Below are 12,191 nucleotides of genomic sequence, written 5' to 3'. Positions count from 1 at the left end.
TATATATTTACCTACTTCGTACTCATAAAAATTTTAAAAGGTACATAAATGTTATCATTGCATCCTCTTAATTTTATTTTTCAGTTCCAGAGGGATAATCCTGTCTCTGCCGCAAATGCAGCACCTTCCTCAGTCTTGGGGCGTCCATCAAGCGGAGAGCTGGAATGTGACTGAAAGTAACAGAGTATAGGTGGAACTAGAACAAGGTCACGAGCTGGTGCCCAACTCGTGTAACTCCTGGTTCCAGGCTGTCCCTCTAGGATGCTGTTGGCGCCAGCCGTGGTAGTAGGACAGAGTCTGGGTAAAGGTCGCCTGCTGACAAGATGGTAGCTAGGAGACCTCTAGGTGCGCCAAAATTAGGGCGTCTTTTCCTGGACCGGCAAAACGCCCTGCTCAAAGCTCATTACATCACCACGCCCAAGAACTGATACTTTAGCAGGGCAACGCACCAACCAAGCGACTCCGCCCCACCCTCCCCGCTCCTCCAGCACACGCAAGCGCACAGAGGCCCGCGAGTGACGTCACCTCTCCCGACACCACCTCGTTGTCGTACGACCAAAGGCCTGTCGTAACGGCCGGGAAAAGCCTCGAGAAGAAGGGCACGCACGCCGTACACCCTAACATGCTCGCCAGCATGCGCGCGCAGGTCCTTGGCGCAGGCATTGGGACTGGAGCCAATGAGGTGCGGCGACGTTACTGCGTAGCCGCCAGCTCGGCCGCACGTCAGGGCGCGGGAGCGCGGAGCGAGTTTGGTTGCACTTACACCGGTACTTAAGCGCGGACCGGCGTGTCCTTGGACTTAGAGAGTGGGGACGTCCGGCTTCGGAGCGGGAGTGTTCGTTGTGCCAGCGACTAAAAAGAGGTGAGAGCGGGTCGCGGAGGCCGCACCTGGTTAGAGGCAGAGCTGTGGGAGGCGCGCACTTGCGAGCGACCGAAACCCAAGCGGGGAGCATTCGAGTGGAGCCCGCGCTGGGTGGGAGGGCGGGGAGTGAAGACCCTGGACTGTGGTCAGACCGAGCTGGGCGAGTAACGGCTTGAGGTGCGGCGGAGCCCTAACTAGGGACAGGTATGGTCTCGGTCAGGGACTGGAGGCGGCTTGGATACAGATCCGAGGAGGAGGCGGCCTCTTCCGTAGTGGTTGCTGAAGGGCTATGGAAATGATAGGCAAGACTTCCCTCCTGGAAAGCCGAAGCTTAGAGCTTCACGTTCTTCTTCAGAGGGCAAAAGCTGTTGCTCTTCTAATAAGGGGCCAGTTCTTTTCGTGGGCACATGTTTCTTCCGTCAGTCGTTCTGACATCCTAGAAGGAGTTTCATCAATCACCTTGAAACCGACCTGGACGGGTGACCTCGTGGTCGCCCCAGGAGATCACAGGTAGGGGAGTTGGGATGTCCCCGGGGGACCGTGCAGCCTGCCCCTGAGCTCCCATTCACAAGTTCGAGTGTCAAGCTACTCCTGTGACCTGGGCAGATAGAAACAGCCAGGACCGCTTTTTAAACATTTGTGTGCTTTGCGTTATCCTCAGGGAGAGGTGGCTTTACATTGTAGTAAGATTAAATGGTTAGGTCTTTTTAAAAGTTGCGGTTGTGGTGATTTTGGCTTAATGTGTTCGCCCTTGAGCTTCAGATCTGTGACTTCGTGACCATGATTGTCTCTTCTGAAACTGGAGTTTGAATTAGGTTCCCTCTTTGCTTGGGCTTTAACGTTCCTTCACGTATACACACAAAAATACGTTTTTGAGGAGGTACTCCTAAAAATGTTTTTGGTATTAAAGAATATTTGGTATAAAGAGTATTAAAGCAAAACAAGATTCATTCTGGTATTTAATGACATAAATTAGCAATGGATTGGTAATTAAGTGGCTAGAGTGGTCATTCATTTACACTGTATTTGTTACCTGAGGAAAAATTTACTAAGTTGAAGCTTTCGTTTTTAGAATTAAATATGGGTGATGTTGAGAAAGGCAAGAAGATTTTTATTATGAAGTGTTCCCAGTGCCACACCGTTGAAAAGGGAGGCAAGCACAAGACTGGGCCAAATCTCCATGGTCTCTTTGGGCGGAAGACAGGTCAGGCCCCTGGATACTCTTACACAGCCGCCAATAAGAACAAAGGTAAGAGTCACTTGTTAAATAAAACAACACAAAATGCAGGAATATAACATGTGGCAAACTATCAGGAGTGTGAAATAACCGATGCATTCTTTCTTGTTTAGGCATCATCTGGGGAGAGGATACACTGATGGAGTATTTGGAGAATCCCAAGAAGTACATCCCTGGAACAAAAATGATCTTTGTCGGCATTAAGAAGAAGGAAGAAAGGGCAGACTTAATAGCTTATCTCAAAAAAGCTACTAATGAGTAATAATTGGCCACTGCCTTATTTATTACAAAACAGAAATGTCTCATGACTTTTTTATGTGTACCATCCTTTAATAGATCTCATACACCAGAATTCAGATCATGAATGACTGACAGAATATTTTGTTGGGCAGTCCTGATTTAAAACTAAGACTGGCTTGTGGTTAAATGAATATGTTCAGTTTTTGAATTTTAATAGTAACTCCAATTCAGTAAATGGTATCACTGTTTACCCCTTTTAAAGATATGATTAGACTTCGTTAGTAATGTTCAACTTTTCACAAAGATGGTGAGTGCCATCTTAAAACTTACTGGAGATTGGTTTTATATTTAGATTTATATAACTGGTTATGTGAATATATTTAAATACTGGGGAAATTGCTTCACTGTCTTAGAACCAAGCAAGATTCACCTGTGTTTTGTGTTCATGTTCATTTGCCTCTTAAAGGCAAGGGTTGAAGATAAATAAGGTAGCAATGTCTATAGTTTTGGCCTTAACTATGCCAATCTAATTATAATTCCCTGTATTTAAAATGGTTTCTTTTACTTATTGAAAGGCATTTTAGTGTGGTTTATGTGTAATATTAAAGATTATTCAACACCTCTCACATCTTACAGATCTATAAGGTCACATGCTTTTAAAATAGTAGCAAGTTAAACTTCACTCTTGAATTCTTTACAATCTAAGTCAAACTAAGTTATAATTTAGGATTGTCTTTAAACAGCCATTCAGAAACAAAACTGTAGAACTGTGTATTTGATTGGGAATGGTGCTTTTGCCAACTTAAAAGGATTAAAGTAACGGAGATATACACAAATTTTAAAATTATGTGTGATCACAAGACTAAAGATAATTAAAAAGAAAACCACAGATCATGACTTTTTGACTGTGCTTGATTTCATGACTGATGCACAAATTTTAATGATTAAAAAGTGCAGGAGCCCTAAATGTCAGTGCAGCAGCCCTAAATGTCAGTGCAGCAGTGTTAACCAGTCATGGTGCTAGATTGTTTACTTGGTTTTCTAGGACTGCCTCAACTAGAATAACACTTCACTAATTGACTCTTAGTTTCTTTGCTCAGATTGAGAACTGCAGCATTTATGCCAGACATGGACAGAGGAATGCCTGTGGTCATAGTTTTGTGATGTGTAACAGTGTATAATTACATACTGAATTATTTCATGCATAGTCTGTGCCATACACATTTAGAGTAGTCCTTGGAGATTTTATGGAGATGGTGAGCACAAGGTAAGTCATAAAGAATAATGAGAAAATAAATCTATGCTGGTGCAGCTGAGAACTGTATCTTTGTGGGACAGTGAGAAGACTGAGAAGATGTGAATCCATGGTCTCAAAGGTGATAGGGACGATTAGATAGGTGTTTTAAGGCCTGAAAGCAATTTATAACATATGAGTCTTATTTTTATTTATAGAAATGTGGAAAGCTTGCTGTAATTCATATTTGAAGTCCTAGTCTGAGTTCTGGTGGGGAATTTAAAAATGCATCCTGGAAATCCTTTAAAGATTTCAGACTTTGAAAGGCCTTGTAGCAGAGGACTTGGTGACTGTATAAAGTTAGTGGTATTCAGGGACAGTGTAGCAAGTAGCTTACAAGGGGACAATTCTGGACTAATGAGAAAGACCTGAAGTGAAGGCTAGAGAGTTGATTTTTTTTTTTTTTGGCATCCTGGAAATGATACAGGAAACATATTAAGATAGATACAGAAATGTGTTCAACCTTCCATCTTGGCTAGTTGTGGCGTTTAGTTTGTTTTTTGAGACATGGTCACGCTGTGTCGCCAAGGCTGGAGTGCAGTGGTGCGATCTCGGCTGGCTGCAACCTCTATTTCCCAGGCTCAAGCGATTCTCTCACTTCAGCTTCCCAAGTAGCTGGGACTACAGGTGTTCGCCACCATGCCCAGCTAATTTTTTTGTAGAGATGGAGTTTTGCCATGTGGTCCCAGGCTGGTCTCAAACTCCTGAGCTCAAGCAATCCGTCCACTTGCCTTGGCTCCCCAAAGTGCTGGGATTACAGGCGTGAGCCACCAGGCCCTGCCTGGTTTTCAAATTCAGAAATCTTATTATTTAACCCAGAAGTAATCAGCCCAGTAGTAACTTAGGTTTAATTTTTTTTCAGGTTTAAAATTTTTCTCATTTATTTTTTCTGAGACGGAGTTTCGCCCTTTTCGCCCAGGCTGAGTACAGTGGTGCAATCTCACTGCAACCTCCGCCTTCCAGTTGCAAGTGATTCTCCTGCCTCAGCCTCCTGAGTAGCTGGGATTACAGGCACCCGCCACCACGCCTGGCTAATTTTTGTATTTTTAGTGGAGATGGTGTTTCACCATGTTGGCCAGACTGGTCTTGGACTCCTGACCTCGTGATCCACCCACCTTGGCCTCCCAAAGTTCTAGGATTACAGGTGTGAGCCACCACGTCCGGCCAATTTTTCTCATTTCTATGCCTCCTATATTAAGGTCTGTGTTGGCACAGATGAGTAACTGCCATGTTCTAGGTCAGTTATACCCAAGCACTTCTGGTGGTTTAAAATGTGATTCTGTAACTTTTTTATTTTTATTTTTTTGAGATAATTTCACTCTTGTTGCCCAGGCTGGAGTGCAATGGCGTGATCGCTGCTCACCGCAACCTCCGCCTTCCAGGTTCAAGCGATTCTCCTGACTCAGCCTCTCAAGTAGCTGGGATTACAAGCATGCGCCACCATGCCCAGCTTATTTTGTGTTTTTAGTAGAGACAGGGTTTCTCCATGCTGGACAGGCTGGTCTTGAACTCCCGACGTCAGGTGATCTACCTGCCTCGGCCTCCCAAAGTGCTGGGATTACAGGCGTGAGCCACCACGCCTGGCCAATTATGTAATTTTTTAAAAAGGACATTTCTATCAGGGATATATACCTTCAGAAATAAGGAAATAGGGGAAAAAAAGAGCACTATAAACCACATGTTTTCATTTCTAGTGCTTCGCTGTAAGTGGCTAGGTTGGTAGAATCAAAAACAAGGGCCAGATGTATTTAAGGGGTATTCAGATGCCACCTACATGCTTATTTTGTCTAGAACAGTGCTGTCTAATAGAACTTTCTGTGACGATGGATATTTTGTAGACTTTTGCTGTCCAGTGTGGTAGCCACTAACCACATGTGGCTGTTAAGCCCTTGAAATATAGCTAGTGTGACTAGAAAGTATTTTATTTTAAATTTACATAGGCACAAGTGGCTAGTGGCTACTGTATTGACATTCTGGGTCTAGGACTAGAACCAGTGGTCTGTAACAAAAGTACTTTCTCTTTACTCTATTAAATCTAGAATTAGCCGGGCATGGTCGCTCATGCCTGTAATCCCAGCACTTTGGGAGGCCAAGGCAGGCAGATCACTTGAGGTCAGGCGTTTGAGACCAGCCTGGTCAACATGGCGAAACCCTGTCTCTACAAAAAACATAAAAATTAGCCAGGTGTGGTGGTGGGCACCTGTAATCTCAGCTACTTGGGAGGCTGAGGCACAAGAATCACTTGAACTTGGGAGGTGGAGGTTGCAGTGAGCCAAGATTGTGCCACTGCACTCAAGCCTGGGTGACGAGTGAAACTGTCTCCAAAAAAAAAAAAAAATCTAGAATTCTTGGAAGTACATTATATTGCCCTTCAGAATAGATTCCAGTTCCTGTTGTGCTCACCTTTATAATTTTACCATAAGTTTTACCTATTCGTAAGTTGGCAGTTTTAGATAGATAACATTCTGGTGGTAGCTAGGGATTTACCTTTTGTCATCCTTTTCCTGCACTTCTCTTGAATTCCTTTATAGATGTACAGTTTTGCTTTAACCACTGAAGATTGCTGTAAATTATAAAGGGTGTGATAGAATCCACATGGCTGTCAAGAAGGAGATCTTACCAAGGACAGTTGACTGACTAGTCTCAGATTGTTTCATATCATTTATACTTGGGTAAGAGTAAACTAGATAACTGGGCGTCGTGGTGCACACCTGTAGTCCCAGCCACTCTGAGGCAGGAGGACTGCTTGTGCCCAGAAGTTCGAGGCTGCAGTGTAGCTGTGATTGTGCTACTGCACTCCAGCCTGGGCAACAGATAAAGGAAACTCCATCTCTTTTAAAAAAAAAAAAAGTGGTCTGGGTGCAGTAGGTCATGCCTGCAATCCCAGCACTTTGGGAGGCCAAGGCAGGCAGATCACCTGAGGTCAGGAGCTTGAGACCAGCCTGGCCAACATGGTGAAACCCCATCTCTACCAAAAATATAAAAACTAGCTGGGCGTGGTGGCGGCACCTGTAATTGCAGCTATTTGAGAGGCTGAGGCAGGAGAATCGCTTGAACCTGGGAGATGGGGGTTGCAGTGAGCCAAGACCGCCCCATCGCACTCCAGCCTGGGCAACAATAGTGAAACTCCGTCTCAAAAAGAAAAAAAGTTTCCTTAGAATGGAAAATATTCATTCATGAGCTCTTTTGGCAATCCGTCATCAGTATATTCTGAAAACCAATAAGATGTTGCCAAGTTGGGGGCGAGAGCTATGTAATGCAAGGCATATGCCTGATGAAGTATACAAATACACCTGACCAGAAACTTTGTCTCCCACATAAGTCTCTTCTAGGCACTGTCGGGGTACATACTGAGCTGCTGCTTTGGCTGTATTTTCTGTGCCTCAGAATAACCATTGTCCTGGTGTTCATATCCTTAGAGTTCAGTACAAAATGTTGGATATCCATTTAATAGGTTCCAGGTTATCTTAGTTGGAGTTTGGGGTATTTGAAAACGTCATGCCTTCAGGCTATCATTTCCCTCAGAAAGCTAAGTAAATTTACTGCATTCATTTCTCAAAGAGTAAAAGTGCAGGTTGTATGTGTCTATGAACATTTAAACATGTTAAAATGTTAAATTTAACATTTTAAATTTAAACATTTAAATATGTCTGTAACTTGAACAGTGTAGTTTCAGAAAGGACCACTGGGCTAGTGTAATGCAGAAAATGCTGGGTCTAGGATTAGGAGAAAATTGTGTTTAGTGTGTATCAATAAACAGCCCGTGGACCCAATCTGACCAGATGCCTGTTTTTGTAAAGAGAACTTTATTGGGCTTGGTGCAGTGGCTTATGCCTGTAATCCCAGCACTTTGGGAGGACAGGGCAGATGGATCACAAGGTCAGGAGTTTGAGACCAGCCTGACCAACATGGTGAAAGCCCGTCTCTACTAAAATACAAAAATTACCTAGGGGTGGGGGGCGGTGGGCACCTGAAATCCAGCTACTCGGAGGCTGAGGCAGGAGAATCGCTTCAACCTGAGAGGCAGAGGTTGCAGTGAGCCAAGATCACACCACTGCACTCCAGCTTGGGCAACAGAGCAAGACTCCGTCTCAAGAAAAAAAACTTTATTGGATCACAGTCACATTCGTTAGTGTATTGTTTAGGGCTGCTTTGGGCTACAACATTAGAGGTTAGTGGTTGTGACAAAGCCTAAAATATTTAGTGTGGCATTTTACAGAGTTTCTCAGTTCTGTGTTTAGAGCTTTGCTTTATCAATCTGATTAACACAACGTTGTATTTGTGGAGAATGGGAATAAGCACCTCAAAAGATTCACTGAATGATGTGTGAATGCCTGTAACTGGCAAGCACAGAAAAATTTGTTCATATCTATGTCAAATTCCTTGAAAGTCACATAGTGAAAAGTCACTACTTCCAAGGTTAGCAAGAACCTATTTGTCGATATTTTCTATTCTCAATTGACTCAATCTGTGTGACATCTGACACACTTGACTGCTCTTATTTTCTCACTTCCCTCAGTTTGTTAGTTTCACATTCACATAGAATGAAACAGACATAAACATCGTTATGTATGTGTAGCTGTAATAATCTCTTGATAACCCACATACTTCAGCATGACGTTTTGCCCAAATTCTAGTCCCTGAACTTAAATTGCTTTGTAGTTATAAAGTGCGTTCATATCTCAATTCATCCTCAGCACCTCAAAAGGCACTGGGGACAGGCTCAGAGGTTGTTACTGCTAAAGGTCACACAGATACACTTCCTCGTTAGCAGTACCACATGTACTGACACCAACCCTTCCTCCGTGCCTTCTAAAACGCCACATAAACTGGGTCATCTCTTTTAGCCTCTTTACAGAATGTACACACTTTGTTAATAGAAACAGGGCTTTCTCCAGGCCCATGAACTTCTCAGCCCTCACAAATAGAGACTGCTTCCACACAGTCCACAAAAGAGGCCATGTAGTCTTGGCATCTTCCAAATCATCACTCTTCTCTCACAGGCAGAGCTACTTGTGTGAGGTTTCTGACATCTGCATGGACCTTTGGACCTTTTGCTGTCATCTGTGTACTTCTAGACCATTACTCACTGGGCACTTCACCTGGCTTATGATCTCTACTGCAACCCTTTTTTATTTTTAAAAGTTATCCTGGTAATAGCTGTATACATTCAAAGAACCTATCCTTAATGCCACTGTAGCCTCAATTTTTTACTTGATTTTAACTCTTCTGAGGGCTTTCCCATCATTATAATTTAGACTTATCAGTACTCCAGAACTACTCCACCTCTGAAATTAGAAATCCCAATACACCAGTCTTTGATCACAAGCTCATATTGTTCCTTGTCTCTCATTCTTATTTCTGTTGTATCTCCTTGAACTCACCAAAACCCCTAGGTCCCGATCATACTCTTCAGCCTCCCTTCCTCGGCCAGCCTCTCAGTGTATCTCTTCCATCACTGCATTGCCTACATCCTCTACCTTTGTCACTTGTATTTCCTTTTGTGGCATCTGTCCTGCAAACAGCCTGAGAACAGCCCAGCAATCTTTGCTTCCATACCTGATCTGAACACCGTAGGAGAAAATCACACTGCTGTCCGTCAGCACCACTGTAAACTTAACCGTCTCTGATTCAGCTGAACCAGCAGAAACCTTGCGCAGCTGTCCTTTTATGTATCCATTCTTATCCCAGTCTTCATTGTTATTTTAGATGTTCATCATGCTCCTCATGATTCTTATCCCCACTGCCTTTCTTATAGCAGATGGCCTTGCCTCCCATTTCAGATATGAATTATTTACTTCCTGACTACGAGGAAGGTTTCTGCTGTACCCCATCCTTCACTTTGAATGTTGTTCTTAATTCAGATATGTTTCAGAATGGTCAATCACATCAGAACAGTCGCTCTACATATTACACCCCAACATGGTCATTCTAACACCCATTCTCAACCCCCTTGTCCTCTGCCTCCCTCTCCCATAAAAGTTGGAAGGACTACATGTCTACTTTCTTTTTAGCCCAGGAACTTTGCATGGGAAGCCACATTTAAACAATATAAATTCTGGAAATTAATATTTTCTAATTCAGTTTAACAAAATTATAGTTGTCTCTACCTGAATTGGGCATGTGTAGTGCGTCCAGACCAAGAGATGATACATCTTTGCAATTTGGGGATAGCAGGAGAAATCTGTAGATTTTCTAAGTCACCTGCACTGAGTTGGGGCATGTTGTGTTGTCAGTAAGATGAAAACTTCTATACTTGTTTACTGGTGAATGGTAGAGGAAGACAGCCCAAGGATCTGAGACCTCCACTGACACTGCATAATGGAACCTTAGGCACATTAACCTCTCTGTATTTTAGTTTCCTCATCTGTAAACTGGCACTAATTATTTTAGCCCTTAGGGTGGTTTTAAGGATTAAACAAGAGAATGTACTTGGCATGTTGCCTGGCAGTCAGTAAACATTCAAAGATTAGCTATTCTTGAACTAGATGGGCAACAATTTATCAAATTGTTTAACAATTGGACATATTGCCTGGGAGAGAGGGTGCTCACTGAGATGATTCTTCCAAGTGAAGTGAACAGGATGGTTTAGTGGGAGAGAAGTGCCTGGAATTAGGGATTTGTATTCCTGACTCTGGCCCTTAATTCTAACCATTGACTCATCAAGTGATGTCTCATACACTTTTAGTGACCTGGACCAAGAATCAATTAAGTTCAACCTCCACCAACTTCATTTACCTTGAAAGCTTTTCTAAGGGGGGGGTCCAAGGCTTGTAGTCAAATGTATGTATACACTGATATGTATACATTCTCATCTTCTAAGTGTGCCTAGTTTCTCTAGTAATCTACGAAAGGCATAGTTTTTAATATCCCATTTACTGGTATAATGCCAGCGCTAGTCAATTTCTCCTGAATCTTAAAATCAACATGAAGAGAAACAAATTGAGTTGGGAATATGTGCATTAGAGGCAGCTTAGAGTGGGAAATGTTTAGGTGGTTGGCTGCAACCCTCCACTGTTCCATCTCCCAGGAGGATTTATTAGGATGTTCCATCCAGGTCATAGCAGGTTGCCACCTGGAGGGCCCTTACCTATGAAGAACTAGTGGTTCTGCCTCTCGTCCTGTCACAATGCCTTGCTAACTTGTGTTTAGCAATGTTCAGTAGTTACCTTGTTAGAGTTTTGATTCTGGAACATTAGCACTTCCTATAATTTTTTTTTTTTTTTTTTTTGAGATGGAGTCTTGCCCTGTTGCCCAGGCTAGGGTGCAGTGGTGCAATCTCAGCTCACTGCAACCTCCACCTCCTGGGTTCAAGCGATTCTCCTGTCTCAGCCTCCCAAGTAGCTGGGATTACAGGCACACCACCATGCCTGGCTAATTTTTGTATTTTTAGTAGAGATGGAGTTTCGCCATGTTGGCCAGGCTGGTCTTGAACTCCTGACCTCAGGTGATCCACCTGCCTTGGCGTCCCAAAGTGCTGGGATTACAAGTGTGAGCCACTGCTCCTGGCCCCTCCTGTAATTCTTTTTTTCTTTTTCTTTTTTTTTTTTTTTTTTTTTTTTTTTTGAGACAGAGTCTCGCTCTTTTCGCCCAGGCTGGACTGCAGTGGCGCTATCTCGGCTCACTGCAAGCTCCGCCTCCCGGGTTCACGCCATTCTCCTGCCTCAGCCTCCCAAGTAGCTGGGACTACAGGTGCCTGCCACCATGCCCGGCTAATTTTTTGTATTTTTAGTAGAGATGGGGTTTCACCGTGTTAGCCAGGATGGTCTCGATCTCCTGACCTCGTGATCCTCCCGCCTCGGCCTCCCGAAGTGCTGGGATTACAGGCATGAGCCACCGCACCTGGGCACCTCCTATAATTCTTGAATGGGGCATATGTGATGGTGATAACAAAAAATCACTGTGCTAGCCGGACAAACACTGTATGTTGAGTACAAAGGTTAGAGTTGGTATAGGAAGAGACCTATGGGAGAGATTTTTAATTTATGAGTCTCCTGAGTTAGACTAGGTTAAGATATTTAAAAAACCAGTGCTTAGTGGGAAGTGACAGGGCCAGCCCATTTCACCCCCTCCTAACCTGGTATGTCTCAAAATAAGAATGAAGGAGGGTTTTTTGTGCGGTACCTCAAGGTCAGGGAAAGATTCATTTAGGCTGAGCATGGTGGCTTATGCCTGTAATCCCAATGCTATGGGCTGAAAAAGAAGGATTACTTGAGGCAGGAGTTTGAGACAAGCCTGGACAATACAACAAGACCCCACCTCTACAGACAATTTCTTATAAAATTAGCCATGCATGGTGGCATGTGCCTGTAGCCCTAGCTACTTGAGAGGCTGAGGCAGGAGCATCGTTTGAGCCTAGGAGTTAAGGTTTATAATAAGCTATGATTGTGCCACTGCACTCCAGCCTGGGCAACAGAGTGAGACCCTGTCTTAATAAAAGATTCAGAGAGTCTTTTACCATTATAAAGCAAATGTAGGCTGTACATGCCAGATTCCTTTTGTAGATATCCTGCCTGAAGATTCTGATAGCTTCCTACTCATTATGCTAAACTTGATGA

At 43.6% G+C, this 12,191-nt stretch overlaps 2 protein-coding genes across 2 annotated transcripts in view, besides 6 other annotated features; both read left to right on the top strand.

The window, feature by feature from the left end:
* Positions 1–290, top strand: part of SPMIP4 (sperm microtubule inner protein 4) — a 54,583-nt gene extending 54,293 nt beyond the window's left edge. Inside the window, exon 10 of the mRNA XM_047419891.1 lies at positions 85–290. Within this exon, the coding sequence (XP_047275847.1) occupies positions 85–174 (90 nt within the window). The 3' untranslated portion in view covers positions 175–290. The remainder of the gene's footprint in view (positions 1–84) is intronic.
* Positions 392–641: an enhancer, noted in NCBI's record as "active region_25768". NCBI's record gives its function as "activates an Ori minimal core promoter by ATAC-STARR-seq in GM12878 lymphoblastoid cells {active_cell/tissue: GM12878}" and the evidence as "EXISTENCE:reporter gene assay evidence [ECO:0000049][PMID:35858748]".
* Positions 789–1,332: an enhancer, noted in NCBI's record as "H3K27ac hESC enhancer chr7:25164349-25164892 (GRCh37/hg19 assembly coordinates)". NCBI's record gives its function as "activates a minimal SCP1, AML or CMV promoter by ChIP-STARR-seq in primed H9 embryonic stem cells {active_cell/tissue: H9 hESC(primed)}" and the evidence as "EXISTENCE:reporter gene assay evidence [ECO:0000049][PMID:30033119]".
* On the top strand, positions 802–7,406 carry CYCS (cytochrome c, somatic). Its single transcript, NM_018947.6, has 3 exons — positions 802–862; positions 1,935–2,111; positions 2,213–7,406. Exons 2-3 carry the CDS (start codon positions 1,943–1,945, stop codon positions 2,359–2,361), a joined length of 318 nt encoding a protein of 105 aa, NP_061820.1. The 5' UTR covers positions 802–862; positions 1,935–1,942; the 3' UTR covers positions 2,362–7,406.
* Positions 1,333–1,877: an enhancer, noted in NCBI's record as "H3K27ac hESC enhancer chr7:25163804-25164348 (GRCh37/hg19 assembly coordinates)". NCBI's record gives its function as "activates a minimal SCP1, AML or CMV promoter by ChIP-STARR-seq in primed H9 embryonic stem cells {active_cell/tissue: H9 hESC(primed)}" and the evidence as "EXISTENCE:reporter gene assay evidence [ECO:0000049][PMID:30033119]".
* Positions 8,012–8,281: an enhancer, noted in NCBI's record as "active region_25767". NCBI's record gives its function as "activates an Ori minimal core promoter by ATAC-STARR-seq in GM12878 lymphoblastoid cells {active_cell/tissue: GM12878}" and the evidence as "EXISTENCE:reporter gene assay evidence [ECO:0000049][PMID:35858748]".
* Positions 8,332–8,381: an enhancer, noted in NCBI's record as "active region_25766". NCBI's record gives its function as "activates an Ori minimal core promoter by ATAC-STARR-seq in GM12878 lymphoblastoid cells {active_cell/tissue: GM12878}" and the evidence as "EXISTENCE:reporter gene assay evidence [ECO:0000049][PMID:35858748]".
* Positions 8,532–8,601: an enhancer, noted in NCBI's record as "active region_25765". NCBI's record gives its function as "activates an Ori minimal core promoter by ATAC-STARR-seq in GM12878 lymphoblastoid cells {active_cell/tissue: GM12878}" and the evidence as "EXISTENCE:reporter gene assay evidence [ECO:0000049][PMID:35858748]".

The sequence above is a fragment of the Homo sapiens genome, chromosome 7 (genome assembly GCF_000001405.40).
Source record: "Homo sapiens chromosome 7, GRCh38.p14 Primary Assembly".
NCBI classification, from domain to species: Eukaryota; Metazoa; Chordata; class Mammalia; order Primates; family Hominidae; genus Homo; species Homo sapiens.
Note: the sequence above shows the minus strand (reverse complement) of the source record. Positions and strands in the feature narration are given on the sequence as shown.